This window comes from Homo sapiens, chromosome 8 (genome assembly GCF_000001405.40).
Source record: "Homo sapiens chromosome 8, GRCh38.p14 Primary Assembly".
Lineage (NCBI taxonomy): Eukaryota > Metazoa > Chordata > Mammalia > Primates > Hominidae > Homo > Homo sapiens.
Window position 1 is genome coordinate 116,784,395 of NC_000008.11, and position 17,988 is coordinate 116,802,382.

The window sequence follows — 17,988 nt, forward strand, 5'->3', positions numbered from 1 at the left end:
CCCCAGGGCTGACATAGAGCTTTTTGTGATAGGAGCAGGTACAGGGAAGGGGGAGTGGGGTGTGTGCTCCAGTCCACAGTCAAACCTCTATTCAGCTAACCAGCTGGATGTTCTACCAAATTATAATAACAATAAGGGCTGACCTTTCTGGAGGGTTTACAATGTTGCTTTGCAGTGGTCTATGATAATGTGTATTATCTTACTTAATCCTTACAACCCCATGGAAAAGGTCCGCATTTTACAGATGAAGAAATTAAGCAGAAAGATTAAGTGACTTGCCCAAGATCTCTCAGTTAGCAAACGATGAGCCAGGATTTGAACCTAGAGTCAGTGGAACAGTCACTAAATTACAAGATCTCCAAGGCACCCTGGAGATGGCGATGGTTGAAGCTTCTAACTACTGCTAGTATCTTTCCTAGACAGAAACTAAAAGTTCATGGAGATGTCCAGTTATTCTTTTCATCCACCTTATTTGGGATGCAAAGTGACAAGTACTCTGATTTATAGAACTCTGTACCTTAAATGAATAAGCAGGCAAGCTTTTTAACCAAAAAACCCTTAAGCAGAGGACTTGTGGGAGTTACAAGTTCTCCTCCCTCAAGACTCACAACTTACCTTTTTGAAAAGACCATAGCAACCTTTAGAGTACCTGTCTTCAGTGTCTTGCCCAAACTTGTTCAGCAAGCAAGTGGTGAAAGGAAGACACCACCTAAAGCCCGTGGCCTTAACCACTAAAATACGCAACTCAAAGGCACTTGTGATGGTAGGTAATTCTAAGAGACTCCAAGGTAATTGTGGTCTGTTGATCCCATCTGCTATCTCTAGTTGAAAGAAAACCTTTGATGTTGTATTGGGGTGTGCGTGGCAGGATCCAAAGCTCCTTATAGTGGATTTTCCTAAAAATCTCCACTAAAATCTTTCAAGTCCAACCCTTATAAAGCCTTCTGTGAATTCTCATCCCCTAAAGCAGAGTTGATCATTCCTTCCTACCTCCCACAATGTCCTTTGAATATATTTCCATTAAATTATGCAATTATCTCATTACAATACTTTTATTTTTTGAATTTATGACCTGTGAGCTTTTGGAGGTCAGAAGTTTCTGCTGTTCTGTGCGCTGCTGAATCCCCATTGCCTAAGCGCTGTCCCCAGCATGTGGCAAACACAGATTAATGCTTGTTGAAGAAAGACCAGAAAGAAAGAAAAAAGGAAGAAAGACAAAGTGATAACCAACTTCTGTGACTATTTTCAAAATCTTTACAACTATTAGTTTTCTTATTTCTAGAACTAAAACTCTTTAAAGTGTCTAGATGTCTTTCACATTATCAAAGAAGGAATCTGATGTCTTTGTGGTATCTGTTTATGACCTTGTTCTGAGCCCAAATCCAATTATTCTTGGGTAATCTTGATTACATTGCAAACTTTCAAATTCTCTCTCATCACACACACACACATACACACACCACAACACACAACATGTGACAATCATTCTATTAATAGTTTATATATCTTATCATGCTGTATCTACCATTTACTCAGAAGTCAAATTAAATCTCAGGTGGGATTAGTCTGTCATTTGTTTTGCCCATAAAACACATAGTTAGCAGAAGTGAAGTTTATTCAGCTAATTAAAAGCTTACTAATTGAATTTACTTTCAAAGATATTACTCTTATTATAAACAAATCTATGTGCTTTAGGAATGTACCATTATCTTAGTTATAATTTGAGTTTAGGTTGAAAACAGAATGGGCTAGGTTTAGGGTGGCTGGGATCTGAAATAGGAGCAACCAGAGACTTACAGCTGATGAAGAATGGGAATTGCAGTAGTCAGGACACTTATGGTTGCAAATGACAGAAAATTGGCTTTTACCAATTAATTATTGGGCCACATAATAACCTAAAAGTCCTGGGATAGCATTAGCTTCAGTCTCAGCTGGATCTAGGTGTTTGATTTCATTCAGACCACTCTCCAAATCCATTTTTCATTTCTGCTTTGCTTTGCTCTGGTTTTACCCTCAGGTACATGTTTCCCATCTGGTAGCCTCCCAGAGGCTGTAGTTTCAAGATGCAGAAAAGAGTTCATTTCTCATTTCTCTCTTTCTTCTCTCAGTATATCCCAAGAATGTACACATTCTGCACCAATTATGGAGGACAACAGTATGTGATTGATGCTCTGATTGGCTAGCTCTGGACCACATGACCAACTCTGCTCTGGTGGTAGAGCTAATTCCACTTAAACCACATCAACAGAGAATGGGTAAGATGTGTTTCCTCAAGGGAGACTGTAACACTATTAGAAGGAGGAGTGAAAGTTGGCGTGTAAGAAGCAAATGATCACTACTGATATGTGGGCATTTGAGGTGAATTAAATTTTTACTTGAATTATTTTATGTTTTCATACTCATCAGAGTTTGTATAAACTATGGTAAAACTTACTGTCAGCTCTCAGCATGCTTAACTGGTCTTTTACTGTCATCATCATATGAAGACAATATCTGTTATGGTCTGAATGTTTGTGTCCCCTTCAAATTCACATGTTGAAACCTAACCATCATTGTGCTGGTATTAGGAGGTGAGACCAGTGGGAAGTGATTAGGTCACGAGGGCAGAACCCTCATGAATGGGACTAGTACCCTTGTAAAAAAGGCCCCAGAGAGCTGCCTTGCCCCTTCTAGCATGCAAGGACACAGTGAGAAGACGCCATCTATAAACTAGGAAGCAAGCCCTCACCAGACACCAAATCTGCGGGCATCTTGATCTTGCACTTTGCAGCCTCCAGAACTGTGAGAAATAAATTTCTGTTGTTTGGAAGCCACCCAGTTTATGATATTTTTAAATGGCAAGCCAAATGGACTCAGACAATACCCAACATCCAAATAAAGAACTTTATAATTTATCTTCATTTGCTGCTGCTCATCCCTCTTATTTCTTTCATCTGACTTTGGTCTCCAGGTAAAATGAACAGAAAATGGGCATAAATTGAGGTATCCTATGACAAATGCATTTGCTTTTTCTATAGAATTACATCCTAAAAAATTTGAAAATTCACTTTCTCCTACGACTACCTTTTTTTTTTTTTTTTTTTTTTGAGGTGGAGTCTCGCTCTGTCACCCAGGCTAGAGTGCAGTGGCGCGATCTCGGCTCACTGCAAGCTCCGCCTCCCGGGTTCATGCCATTCTCCTGCCTCAGCCTCCCGAGTAGCTGGTACTACAGGCGCCTGCCACCACGCCTGGCTAATTTTTTTGTATTTTCAGTAGAGATGGAGTTTCACTGTGTTAGCCAGGACGGTCTCGATCTCCTGACCTCGTGATCCTCCTGTCTCGGCCTCCCAAAGTGCTGGGATTACAGGTGTGAGCCACCGTGCCCGGCCTCTTAAGACTACCTTAGAAAGTAGATTGCAAAAAAACTTTAAACATGTATGTATTTAAAAATTTAATAACAAAACCCCCCAAATTCTGTCATGATCTTGATCATTAGAAAGATTTATGTAATTGGAGAATTTCAGAAATATCTTGGCGGCAGAACTAGATGCCTTTTGAGGTTCAATTTAATTCTAACATCCCGTTAAAATTTAATGTACAATATGTAGAGAAGGACAGCAACTACACACTGTACACCCTAAGACTGATTTTTAAAAAAGCAACATCAACTTCAACATCCAAGTATCCTATACTTTACACAGTGCCTGGTATGTAATAGTTGCTTAATGTTTGCTGAATGACAGTGTGATCAAAGGAGTGTTGTTACATCTGTCACTCTGAGGTCCTTCTGGTGATGTTGCCATATCTTATAACATCAACAAATGTTTTCTTAAAAATGAAATTTTCAGGTGCATTGGCTCACACCTGTAATCCCAACATTTTGGGAGGCTGAAGTGGGAGAATTGCTTGAGGCCAAGAGTTCGACACCAGCCTGGGCAACACAGTGAGACACCATCTCTACCAAAAAAATTAAAAAATTAGCTAGTCATGGTGGTGTGTGCCTTTAGTCCTAGCTATTCCCAGGAGTTTGAGGTTGCAGGGAGTATGATTGTGCCACTGCACTCCAGCCTGGGTGGCAGAGCAAGACTCGGTCTCTATTTTTAAAAAAAGAAAGAAAGAAAAATTTGCCTTCACTGCCAGTTCTACATTGTGGAGGATACTTTGTTTTGGCCCCTAGAGGGAGCGCTAGCCTCCTCTATAAATCTCATCCTCAGCACTCTCCTCCAGGGTTTTCTTACGCTACATTAAAAGAGAATTGAGAAGAAACTGTTAAGGTCAAAAACGTTTCATGGGCATGTTTGTAGGAGCGTGGATCAATCCAGTGAGTGTGGATCACTGAAATCAATATGTTGAATGGATATCTGTGCTCTCACGTTCATTACAACATTCTTCAGAATCCCAAATATACAATCAACCTGTGTTCATCAACAGAGATGGATGAAGAAAATGTGGTATATATGAACAATAGAATACTATTCCACCTAAACAGGGAGAAATTCTGTCATTTGTGATAACGTGGATAAATCTGGAGGACATTATGCTAAGCGAAATAAGCCAGGTACAGAAAGACAAATACCTCTGACCTCACTTATATGTGGAATCTAAAAAAGTCAAACTCACAAAAGTAGAAACTAGAATGCTGATTACCAGAGGCTAGGGAGGTGGAGAAGGAGGAAATTGGGAGATGTTGATCACAAAATACAAAGTTTGAACAAAAAAAAAAAAAAAGAAAAAATACAAAATTTCGACAGACAGGAGGAATAGGTTTTGAGATCTATTGCACTATTGATTATAGTCAATAATAATGTATTCTATATTTCAAAATAACTGAGTAAATTTCAAATGTATCACCATAAAAATGATAGGTAAGTGAGGTGATGGATATGTTATTTGGCATGATTTATCATTCCACAAAATGTACATATATTGAAACATCGCATTGTATCCCATAACTGTATGTAATTATGATATGTCAATGAAAAATAATATTACTAATAAAAATTTTAATTTTCAGTTGAAAATTAATTAATTAAAAAATAGCACAATGATCAAAATATATTGGTTCTTATTTTCTCTGTATCACAGATGAGAAAACTAAGGCTCAGACAGCTCAAATGTTTGCCCACATTTAAACCAATAACAAGTGACAGAGCTGGGGCTTGAACTGAAATCTTTAAATCTAAGTAATTTGGGGGGTCTGGGTAAGGGACAGGGATGGAATCGCTATGACAGGATGAGACTAAAATATTTAGATGTCATCTACAGTGAGATTTGTACCTTCACTCTGGCGATTCACCATCCTTTGAGAAGGAATTTGACTTTTGGAAACAGCCTAAATAAATTTATAATCAATTCTGGAGAATAAAGTGTTTTGGGGAAAAATGAAACAGCAAGTCAAAATAATATTTCTTGTTCTCTTGTGTGCTTTTGAAACTTGTTCTGAAGATAATTTCAAATTTGGAAGGAATTTTATGCAGTGTCAGCATTATTGAAAAATGCACTCTTTCCCGAGGTACTACTTTGAAAGATAACATTTGCTTGGTGTTTGCTCATATATGTGTGTCTGTATTCATTTCCTGAACACCTACATGTGCTGGGATTCAGTGATGAATAAGATACAGTCTTCCCTCATGAAGTTTGTGATCCACTTGGGGAGGCAGGTAGGTAAATAGTGACTTTTATTATGTAGAGATTAGTGGTATAATAAAACTCCTTCCAGCCGTAAAATCACTGGATTGTATAATATGTAACATCAGTCTAAATTCTTTTTTTTTTGACACCAGGCAAGATAAACTATAGATGGGTAAATAAATACATTTATTTACATATAGTTTTCAAAGAGTCATTCTGCCTGAGAGCTTTGGGAAAAGCTTGACAGGGAGGTGACATTTGATCTAGGGCTCAAGGTAATTTTATAAAAATGTGCACCAGAGACAAAGAGGTATTCAATAAATATTTCTTAAATGAACCAACGACATAAGGAAGCACCAGTTTTTCTTGAGATCTGTATATATAGTGTTGTGCCTGTCTAAAAGCTGACCGTCCTATTTAAATTATGTCCATTCTGGTAGAAAAAGCCCTTTTGAAGTCGTCTTATATAGTTGGCAGAGTTGGCTAACTGAATGAATAAAAAATGTAACATAACCAAATATAGGCCAAATAAATTTATGTTGCTCAACACTAAAGCTTTGACAGGTACAATCAATGTGCAGCAGCCTGATTTCTTGTCTCAGCTGTTTCATTAAACCAGCCCTGAGATCTTCCTAGCATTAGGCCACAGCTTTCAGGGTCTTTATTCTTTCCTAGGTTGCATATTCTGTATTTGCTCAAGATTAACTGTCTTTCAGTGTTATGTTTCTGAATATATTTAGGCACTCCCTTGTGAAGTCACAAGGATGGGAACAAAGCAAGAGCTGGACCCCACTTTTCCTCGTTTTTTTTTTTTTTTTTTTTTTGACAGGCTCTTGCTATGTCACCCATACTGGAGTCCAATGGTGCAGTCATGGCTCACTGCAACCTTGAGCTCCTGGTCTCAAAGTGATCCTCCTATCTCAGTCTCCCCAGTAGCTGGGACTACAGGCACACACTGCCATGCTTGGCTTTTTTTTTTTTTTTTTTCAGAGATGGTATCTCGCTGTGTCACTTGGGCTGGTCTCCAACTCCAGGGCTTAAGTGATCCTCTTGCCTTGGCCTCCCAAAGTGCTGGGATTACAGGTGGGAGCCACCAAACTGAACCTACTTTTCCTCCTTCCCACCAGTGATGTGCGGGCATCACTACAGTAGGCAGAACTGCTCTGCTGTGGCCAGCTCTGCAGTTCCAGGGGGGCCAGTGTTTCTCCAGAGTGGTGCATGGACCCCTGCCTCAGCGTTACTTGGACCATTGCTTGCTTAACATGCAGATTCCTGGGCCCCACTTAAACCAATAAAATAGAAACCTTTGTAGATGAGACCTATAATGTATCTTTATTTTTCATAGGTTTTTGGGGAACAGGTGGTATTTCGTTACATGAGTATGTTCTTTAGTGGTGATTTGTGAGATTTTGGTGTACCCATCACCTAAGCAGTGTACACACAACCCAATTTGAAGCCTTTTATCCCTCACCCCCTTCCCACCCTTTCCCCCAGAGTCCCCAAAGTCCGTCGTATCATTCTTATGCCTTTGCATCCTCATAGCTTAGCTCCCACTTATGAATGAGAACATATGAGGTTTGGTTTTCCATTCCTGAGTTACTTCACTTAGAATAATAGTCTCCAATCCCATCCAGGTTTCTGGGAATGCCATTAATTCATTCCTTTTTATGGCTGAGTAATATTCCATCACATACACACTACAGTTTCTTTATCCACTTGTTGGTTGATGGGCATTTTGGGCTTGTTCTATATTTTTGCAATTGCGATTGTGCTGCTATAAACATGCGTGTGCAAGTATTTTTTTGTATAATGACTTCTTTCCTAAAATGTATCTTTAACAAACACCAGGTGACTATGATTCTTGCATACCCTGAAGTTAAAAATCTGTGAAGAGAGAAAAAACAAAGGAGATTCTTACTTTTTTTCTGTGGTTTCTAGTTTTCTTGGGAAATGACTGATTATATGTAGTCCCCTCCTAGGGACCACCCTGGACTTCAGCCTTCTTCTCACGTAACAATCCACTGGCGCGATTATTATTAACTTGTTTACTAATGACAAGTTGGAGTACAAGGGACTGAGTGCTCTCAAAATTCACATGTAGCTCTAGGCCTTTACAACTGGAGAGTCTAATTTGAGGGGTGTTAAGCGATAATTCTGAATGACTTGCCTGCAGAGGAAGAGGTACAGAGGACATGGCTGAAATCCTGAGGGCCAAAGATAGTGGCACCTCCAATGCGTGAGGGAGACCACGCTGCCAGCTCTTGAGAGATGGTATTTTTGCTTGTTTTGAAGCTTTTCTCTCTCTTTCTTTTTTTTTTTTTTTTTTTTGGCATAAAAAGTATTACATATTTATAGGAAAAATTAAAACACAGAAATGTGAATTGGAAAATGAAAGTCAATGGCTTAAATACCCTCAATAGAGGAGTGGTTAAATGAAATGGGGCACATCTGTCTTTTATAGAATTCTATATAGCCATTAAAAAGATTAGATACACGTATTGACCAGGCGCGGTGGCTCATGCTTGTAATCTCAGCTCTTTGGGAGGCCAAGGCGGGCGGAATACCTGAGGTCAGGAGTTTGAGACCAGCCTGGCCAACATGGTGAAACCCCATCTCTACTAAAACTACAAAAATTAGCTGGGCATGGTGGTGGGCGCCTGTAATCCCAGCTACTCAGGAGGCTGAGGCAGGGAGAATTGCTTGAACCCGCGAGTTGGAGGTTGCAGTGAGCTGAGATGGCACCACTGCACTCCAGCCTGGGGGACAGAGGAAGACTCTGCCTCAAAAAAAAAAAAAAGATACATGTATGACTACAGGAAGAGCTTTACCAAGGAAGGTAAATAAACAAGAGGCAGAACATACTATAGTATGATCTCATGTATGTTTAAAACAAGAAGATGCATGTGAATATATGTATATATATGTATATAAAGTATAGAAATGTATATAGCAAATAGAAGGAAAAATTGCTCACCAAACTGTTGACAATGGAGTGGAAAATGAGATGAATTAATATGGGACTTTCATGTTTTGTTCCATTTGCTTCTTTTTCTAAACAATTATTTTTCTATAGAAATGTATTTTATCTTTTTTTTCCTGCTCCTTGTCGAGCAGAGCTACCCCATAGGCCGTGTGCCCAGAGTAGCTGGAAACATAGTTTTAAAAGACATGCAATTTTTTAATTTTTCAATTTTTTTTTTTTGAGACAGAGTCTCGCTCTGTCGCCCAGGCTGGAGTGCAGTGTCAAAATATCCGCTCACTGCAAGCTCTGCCTCCCGGGTTCATGCCATTCTCCTGCCTCAGTCTCCTGAGTAGCTGGGACTACAGGCGCATGCCACCACGCCTGGCTAATTTTTTGTATGTTTTAGTAGAGACGGGTTTTCACCGTGTTAGCCAGGATGGTCTAGATTTCCTGACCGCGTGATCCTCCCACCTCAGCCTCCCAAAGTGCTGGGATTACAGGCGTGAGCCACCACGCCCGGCCAAGACATGTATTTTAAAAAAAAAAAAAGCTACAGTTTTTTCTTAACTGAAAGTTCCATGTGGGAGACTATCTTGAAGGCTGTATCTTTTGCTTTTTTTTTTTTTTGAGAAAGGGTCTCTGTCACCCAGGCTGGAGTGCAGTAGCGTGATCACAGCTCACACCAGCCTCAACTTCCTGGGGTGTTTCCCCCACCTCAGCCTCCCAGGTAGCTGGAACTATAGGCATGCACCACCGCGTAATTTTTTGTATTTTTTATAGAAACGGGGCTTTGTTATGTTGCCCAGGTTGGTCTTGAACCCGTGGCACAACCATTCTCCCACCTTGGCCTCCCGAAGTGCTAGGATTACATGCATGAGCCACCGTGCCTGGCCAAGGCTGCATCTCCACCTTTGAAGGGAATGCCCAGGGAAGGAGCCTAGCTAGGTGGAAATGAAGAGCTGGGATACACGTGTTCATTCACTCACTCCATAAAAATTTCTTTGCCAGACACTGGATTAGGTAATGGAGATCAGTGGTATCCAAGACACCATCCCTGCACTATTACAGGATCCTGGGGGAGACCAGTGAATAAAAACACAATGGAAACAGTTTGATAGGTGTTAGTATTCGGATATATAGGAGGTATTAGGGACTTGGATTTGGGGATGCAGGCAACATTTCTGGAATAAGTGACATAAACTGAACCCTGAAGGATGTGCAAGAGTTAGGAAATGAGAATGAGAAACAGTTCTGGTTTAATAAGGGTACAGTAAGGGTGATGGCTCAGTGGGGGTGGGCAAGCAAGCTGAGCTGTTTCCCTCCTCTTAGAGAGAAATACTTGGGCTGTGCCTTTCTGGAGGCAAGACAAAGTCTGTTTGTCACATGGAATATCTAGGTGAGAGCCAGGAAAGGGAGAAATGGCTTGGGATTTTATTTGCTCTTAATCTTCTCCTGTCTCAAAATGCAGACCAGGAAGGTTGGTTTCCCAAGACACACTTGTAGTTTGTCCACTAATCCTGGACAGTATTTAAAACATGTTGACTTGTTTGCCAACACTTAAACATTGTGGGATTTTACATAAAAATACAGATTTTCAGCCTTTTTTGAAATACTTGATAATTGGGCCTCAACAGTCTTTTACAAAGGGCAGGAACTTGCCAGTTTGTTCCCTCCATGTTTGTCTCACTTATTGGTTTCACTTAAGTTTTTGTTTTTGTTTTTTAACAGCAAGTTTTATTGAAGTGACAGTATACAGCAGTAGCACAGGTACTGTTCCTTGCAGAGCAGGGCCATGCCATAGGCACTGGACCCAAAATAGCAGCCCAGAGGCAGTTCGGCAGTGGTATTTATACCCACTTTATTTTATTTTGTTTTTTTAAGTTCCAGGGTACGTGTGCAGGATGTGCAGGTTTGTTACATAGGTAAATGTGTGCCATGGTGGTTTTCTGCACCTATCAACCCATCACCTAGGTATTAAGACCAGCATGCATTAGCTCTTTTCCCTAATGCTCTTCTCCACTGCACTCCCAAAACAGGCCCCAGTGTATGTGGTTCCCGTCCCTGTGTCCATGTGTTCTTATTGTCCAGCTCCCACTTATAAGTGAGAACATGCGGTGTTTGGTTTTCTGTTCCTGCATTAATTTGCTGAGGATAATGGCTCAACCTTGCAGTGGCTGGTACTGGTTGTTCCTTTCCTGGAACAACTGGAAGCTTCATCCATGTCTCTGCAAAGTACATGATCTTGTTCCTTTTTATGGCTGCATAGTTTTCCATGGTGTATATGTACCACATTTTCTTTATCCAGTCTATCATTGATGGGCATTTGGGTTGGTTCCATGTCTTTGCTATTATGAATAATGCTGCAATGAACATACGTGTGCATGTATCTTTATAGCAGAATGATTTGTGTTCCTTTGGGTATATACCCAGAAATGAGATTGCTGGGTCAAATGGTATTTCTGGTTCTAAATCTTTGAGCAATTGTCACATTGTCTTCCACAATGGCTCAACTACTTTACATCCCAAGCAATAGTGTAAAAGCGTTCCTATTTCTCCGCAACCTTGCCAGCACCTGTTGTTTCTTGACTTTTTAATAATCACCATTCTGACTGGCTTGAGATGGTATCTCATTGTGGTTTTGATTTTCATTTCTCTATCAGAGATATTGAGCTTTTATTTCATATGTTTGTTGGCCGCATGCATCTCTTTTTTTGAGAAGTGCCTGTTCATATCCTTTGCCTACTTTTTAATGGGGTTGTTAGTTTTTTTAACTGTAAATTTGGCTTAGAGTTTTTAACCTCTTCTATAGTGGTTGTATCTTCCCTTGGCTTCTTTCGGAAATCCTGAGGAAGACTGGCAATCCTTCACTTGGCAGAGAACTAGAAGCTTTCATGGTACCCCAGTGGTGGTGGATATATGACCCAGCAGGTGTGGCAGACAGCAATCTTAATGTCCAAAAAGCAGTCATGGAACTGTCACTGAAAAGACTTCAATGACGATATCTATCAACAGTGGTGCTTTGCATGTTGATATACAATTTGCCTAGCATCATTTGGGAAAAAACTATCCTTTCTCCTTCAAGTTACCTTTGCACCTTTGTAAAAAAATCAGTTGAAAATAAATGTGTTGGTCAATTTTGGGGCTGTTTGTTCTGCTTCATTGATCTATTTGTCTATCTTGATACCAGTACTATACTTTCTTTTTTTTTATTACTGTAGCTTTATTATGCTATCATAAATGGGATTGTTTGCTTGATTTCTTTTTTGGATAGGTTGTTAGTAGTGTATTAAAATACTGTTGATTTTTGTATATTGATTTTATATCCTGCAACTTTACTGAATTTATTATTTCTAACAGTTTTTTGGTTGAGTCTTTAGGATTTTTTATATATAAGATTATGTCATCTGTAAACAGATGCAATTTAACTTCTCTCTGATTCGGACACCTTTTCTTTCTTTCCCTTACCTAATTTCTCTGGCGAGAACTTCTAGGACTATGTTCAATAGAAGTTGTGAGAGTAAGCATCCTCATCTTTTTCCTGATCTTGGAGGAAAAGCTTTCACCTTTTCACCATTGAATATGATATTAATTTTGGACTTGTCATAGATTGCCTTTAATGTGTTGAGGTACATTTCTTCTATGTTTAATTTGTTGAGAGCTTTTATCATGAAAGGATATTGTACGTGGTCAAATGATTTTTCTGCATCTATTGAGATGATCATATGGCATTTATCCTCCATTTTAGTAATGTGATTTATCACATTTATTGATTTGTATATGTGGAACCATAGTTATATCCCAGAGATAAATCTCTCTTGATCATGGTAAATAATCTTTTTAAAGTGCTGTTGAGTCAACTTGCCAATATTTCATTGAAAACTTTTGCATCTATATTCATCAGAGATGTTTGCCTATAATTTTCTTTTCTTATAGTGTTCTTATCTGGCTTTTGTATCAGGGTAATGCTGGCCTTGTAAAATTAGTCTGAAATCTGAAAGTATTCCTTCTTCTTCAGTTTTCTTGAAAGAGTTTGAGAAGGATTGGTATTAGTTATTCTTTTTTTTTTTTTTTTTTTTTCAAGATGGAGTTTCACTCTGTTGCCCAGCCTGGGGTGCAATGGCATGATCTTGGCAACCTCCACCTCCCGGGTTAAAGTGATTCTCCTGCCTCAGCCTCCCAAGTAGCTGGGATTACAGACATGTGCCACCATGCCTGGCTAATTCTGTATTTTTAGTAGAGACAAGGTTTCACCATGATGGTAAGACTGGTCACGAACTCCTGACCTCAGGTAATCCACCGGCCTCGGCCTCCCAAAGTCCTGGGATTACTGACATGAACCTCCATGCCCAGCTGGTATTAGTCATTCTTTAAATGTTTTGTAGAATTCAGCCATGAAACCGTCTGGTCCTGGGCTCATCTGTGATGGGAAATTTTATATAACTGATTAAATCTCCTTACTCATGATTGATCTATTCAGATTTTCTATTTCTTTATGATTTAGTCTTGGTAAGTTGAATGTCTCTGGGAATTTAACAATTTATTCTAGGCTATCCAGTCTTTTGACTTATAATTGTTCACAGTAGTTTCTTATGATCTTTTGTTTTTCTGCAGTATCAGTTGTAATGTCCCTCTTTCACTTCTAATTTTAGTTACTTGAGTTCTCTCTTTTTTAGTTAGCCTAGCTAAAGATTTATCCATTTTGTTTCTCTTTTCAAAAAACCAACTATTAGTTAAATTGATCTATTTTTTTCTAGTCTCTATTTTGTTTATTTCTGCTCTGATCTTTGTTATTTTCTTCCTTCTACTAACTTTGGGCTTAGCTGGCTTTTCTTTTTCTGGTTTCTTGAGGTAACCTTAGTCTGTTTATTTGAGATCTTTCTTCTTTTTTTTAATAAGTCATTTATTGCTATAAATTTCCCCTCAAAACTGCTTTTGCTATATTCCATAAGTTCTGGTGTGTTTTGTTTCCATTCTTGTTTCTCTAAAGATATTTAAAATTTTTCCTTTTCATTTTTCTTTTGACCCATTGTTTGTTCAGGAGCATGTTGTTTAATTTTAGTTTCAATTTTTCCTACATTTCTCCTGTTACTGATTTCTAGTTCCCCTTCATTTTTTAAACAAATTTTTATTAGGTATAGAATTCTAGGGTGATAGTTTTTATCTTTTAGGATTTTAAAGATTTTGCTTCACGTTCTTCTAGCTTTGTATTGTTTCCAATATGTAACCTCTGTCTTCTTTTTTTTGTTCCTCTATATTTAATGTGTCTTGTTCATCTGGATGCTTTTAAGGTTTTTTTTTTCTTTATTACTGGTTAGATGCAATTTGATTATAATGTACCCTTGTATAGTTTTGTTCATGTTTCTTAAGCTTGGAATTAGTTGAGCCTAGGGTTTGTGAGTTTATAGTTTTCATCAAATTAGAAAAGTTTTCCACTATTATTTCTTCACGTGTTTTTTTCTGCTTCTGTCCTTTCTTTGCTGGACTCCAGTGGCACATACATTGGGTTTCCTGAAATTGTCCCACAGCTCAATGATGCTCTATTTTTTTTCAGTGTTTTTTCTATTTGTGTTTCATTTTGGATCATTTCTGTTGCTATACCTTCAAGTTTATTAATCTTGTCTTTTGCAATGTTCAGTTAGCTATTAATTTTATTCAATTGTTTGTCTTTGTGTTTTTTTATTTCAGACATTATAGTTTTCATTTCTAGATGATTGATTGGGGTCTTTAAAAATTTTGCATTGTCTTTATTGAATGTGCTCCATCTTTTCTCTGGCTCTTGAACAATGGAATACATTACAATAAGTGTTTTTGTGTTTTTCTCTACTAATTCTATATCTGTGTCATTTATGGGTCTGTTTCCATCGACTGGTTTTTCTCCTCATTATATTTTCCTGTTTATTTGCATGACTAGAAGTTTTAATTAAATGCCAGACATTGAAAATTGTACCTTGTAGGGTGGCTACACTTTTCTATTCCTATAGATATTGAGATTTTTTTAGGCAGTTAAGTTACTTGGAAACAATATCATTTTAGGTTTGCTGTTAAACGTTATTAGGTGAGATCACAGTTGTGTTAAGTCTGAGGCTAATTCTGCCTCACTTTTTTGGAGCACCTACCCAACATTCTGTAAATTGTGATATTCTTCATTCTGGCTGGTAGGAACAGGAATTTTTTTTGGTGGGGGGGGCTCTGTTTGAATTCCAAGTGTTGCCCCTTATAATGCTTTCAAATGGTTCTTTTCCTATCCTTAGGTAGTTTCCTTACATATAAGCTGATCAGTACTCAGCTGAAAACTCAGGCACCCTCTGCAGATCTCCCAAGTTCTCTCTCTCCGCAGCTCACTCATCTCTGGTACTCTGTCCTGGGAACACGAGCCAGCTTATCTCTCTGGACTTCCAACTTTGTCTCAGGAAGTTTGATGGGCTCCCCTTCCATGCTCTGTAGCCTGGAAACTCTCTCTAGGCAGAAAGTTACAGCAACTGTAGAAGTCATTTCATTTCTTTTTACTTCTCAGGAAACATATCTTTGTTGCTGATGTTCAATATCTTGAAAACCCTTATTTTATATATACTGCTGTTATTTCAGCTGGGTGAGTAAATCTAGTCCCTGTTATTCCATCTTGGTTAAAAACAGAAGTTTCTCAACTGTGGTGTTTTGAGACTTCAATCCTAAAATATTAGTGATATTTGGAAATGAATGGGTGGAGGTAAGAGGTCAATCATGGGTTAATTTCCAAAGAAGAGGAAAAACTGCATGGATATGTACAAGGTTAGTCCAAATGGGAATATTTGAGTTATTTGTTTATTAGTGATGAGTCTTCTCTCTTTGGTGGTGGAAGTTCTATTGACTAAGAAGAGCATATTTTTCCTTATGGTCTCACTGTAGATGGGGCTATATAAAAGCAAAAATACCAGGGACGATCTGTCTTCCAAATCTAAATCTAGGGTAGTTTGGCATATACAGCATTGGGCCTTATTCTCTCTGGAGACTCTTGTGTGGGATAATTATTATTATTCATAATAGTAACAGCCATTACTTCTTGAGCACTTTCTATGTACAGGAATCCTTCTATGTTACACAAATTTATATAAGTATACAACAATCTCAATAGGTAGATACTTTATCATCAGTTTTTAAATAAGGGAACTGAAGTTCAGATAGATAAAATAACACACCACATGTCTCATAGCTACCAAAGTTACAGTTGGAATTTAAACCCAGATCAATATGACTTCAAAGCCAAAATGCTTATATAGTATGGCATGCTAAAGGAACTCTATACAGCCACTTTAGAAGCTTCTTGAGAAGATCCTAAGGAATCAAGAATTCCATAGCATTTTTACATCTCCACACACATTTAGCAAAACATCCTAAGGAGGAAGGGATAGAGCTGGCATTAACCAATATTGGCCTGGATTGAATCAAACCTAGGGAAGAGAAACTAGGGGACTTGAATGGGGCTCTCACTCATCGTAGATGCTTTTGGAGTTCCAGGGCACTGTCCGAATTTTAACCTTTGAAATCTAAACCCAAGTTGAACAGAGATTGACAGGTCTTTCCGAGAAGAAATCTCATGTTTGCCGAAAGCCTGGGGGAAGAGTTGGTCAAGACGTCATGTCGTTCCACTTTAGCAAAGTACTTTGAAGATAAAATCAAGAAAGTTGAATTCTTATTATGTTGGGTAAGAGCTCTAAAGTTCTGTTGCTAAGGCCAGGAGTCAATTGAATTTAATTCAACAAACATTTATTAAATGCCTTCTCTATGCCAGACACTGTTTTAGGGTGGAAAATCAAAGAAGAATAAGACACAGCCCCTACGCTAGAGGAAACCAAAGGTCTAGCTGGGAAAGTGGGTGCATAAACAAATAATTATGATAGGATGGGATAAAAATGTACACAGACAACTCTGAGGGTTCAGAGGTGGGGCCAGGGAACCCCATCTGGGGTTGGGAATGTTACAACAGGATTCTGCAGCCTTGTGTGTTTGCTTCATGAGCAGCATTTAGAGTTTTAAGATTTTTAGTATTACACTAGACTTCCTAGGGCAAATAGCAGTCATGTCACTTTCCTTTTGTTTTTGGTGATTCCAAAGCCACCATGCTGGGAATATACTGAGAGGAGAAAGGAGAATTCAAAATAGAGTCAGGAGCTTGTTCTGCCTTCAGTGTGCTCTGTGATTTGAGTGTGCCACTGGGCCTTTTAATTATCAAAAGGTGTTGATCTTGTGAATACACATTGCTAAGTCACCTGTTGGATATTAATAGCAGAAGCCAAGAGTTTACCCAAGGGAGTGATGAGATCAGAATTCTATTATTAAAGGGTGACATTCTCTTGCTGTGTTGAAATTAGACTACACTGTGATTATATCCTACAGTCCTAGAAAACAACAGCAACCAAGCTACATTCAACTGTTAAAAGTGTTATTCATAATACCTCTTATAGCAAGCTATACTTATTCCTTCCTTTAAATTAAGTTGCCTTTTTCTTATAAAAGTAGCATATGTTGATTAAGTGGAAGTACAGAGCCAATTATTGTGTTAGTTTCCTATTGCTGCTATAACAAATTAACACAAATTTAATGGCTTTAAATAACACAAGTTTATTCTTCTGGAGATCAGAATTCTGAATTGACTTTCCCAGGCTGAAGTCAAGGTGTGGGCAGGGCTCATTCCTTTTAGAGGCCCTAGGGAAAACCTGTTTCCTTGCCTTTTTGTTGCTGGGGGCTACCCACATTTCTTTGTAACCTCCTTCCCTCATCTTCAATTTTGCTTCTGGCATCATATCCCCTTTTCCTCTAACTCTGCCTTCTCCTGAGTTTTCTTTTTTTTTTTTGTTTTTTGAGACGGAGTCTTGCTCTGTCGCCCAGGCTAGAGTGCAGTGGCGCAGTCTCGGCTCACTGCAAGCTCCACCTCCCGGGTTCAGCCATTCTCCTGCCTCAGCCTCCCGAGCAGCTGGGACTACAGGTGCCTGCCACCATGCCTGGCTAATTTTTCTTGTATTTTTAGTAGAAACGGGGTTTCACTGTGTTAGCCAGGATGGTCTTGATCTCCTGACCTCATGATCCGCCCGCCTCAGCCTCCCAAAATGCTGGGATTACAGGCTTGAGCCTTCTCCTGAGTTATTATAAAGACCAGTCTGATCATATTGGGCCAACCCAGGTAATCCAGGATAATCTCTCCATCTCAACGTCCTTAATTTAATGACATCAGCAAAGTCTCTTTTGCCATATAAAATAAAATTCATATGTTCAAGGGATTAGGATATGGAGATATTGGAGGGGGTTATTCAGTCGACCTTAACTACTGTCTATGTTTTGGAGCATTTACTTAATATTCTTCTCGAATTTATATAATTCAGATTATTCTGTATAGATACATTGATGTTATGCCTTTGTCATTTACCCTTGTATTATTTGTC

The 17,988-nt window shown here is 38.8% G+C and overlaps 1 long non-coding RNA gene across 2 annotated transcripts in view; it reads left to right on the top strand.

Annotated features, from left to right (window-relative positions):
- Positions 1–17,988, top strand: part of LOC112268030 (uncharacterized) — a 71,615-nt gene that overhangs the window by 5,421 nt on the left and 48,206 nt on the right. The window contains exon 2 of one of the 2 annotated variants that reach the window (XR_002956724.2): positions 2,109–2,255. This is a non-coding gene — a long non-coding RNA (uncharacterized LOC112268030). Of the gene's footprint in view, positions 1–2,108; positions 2,901–17,988 lie in introns of those variants that run through there. The other variant, XR_007061065.1, reaches the window with a different exon arrangement.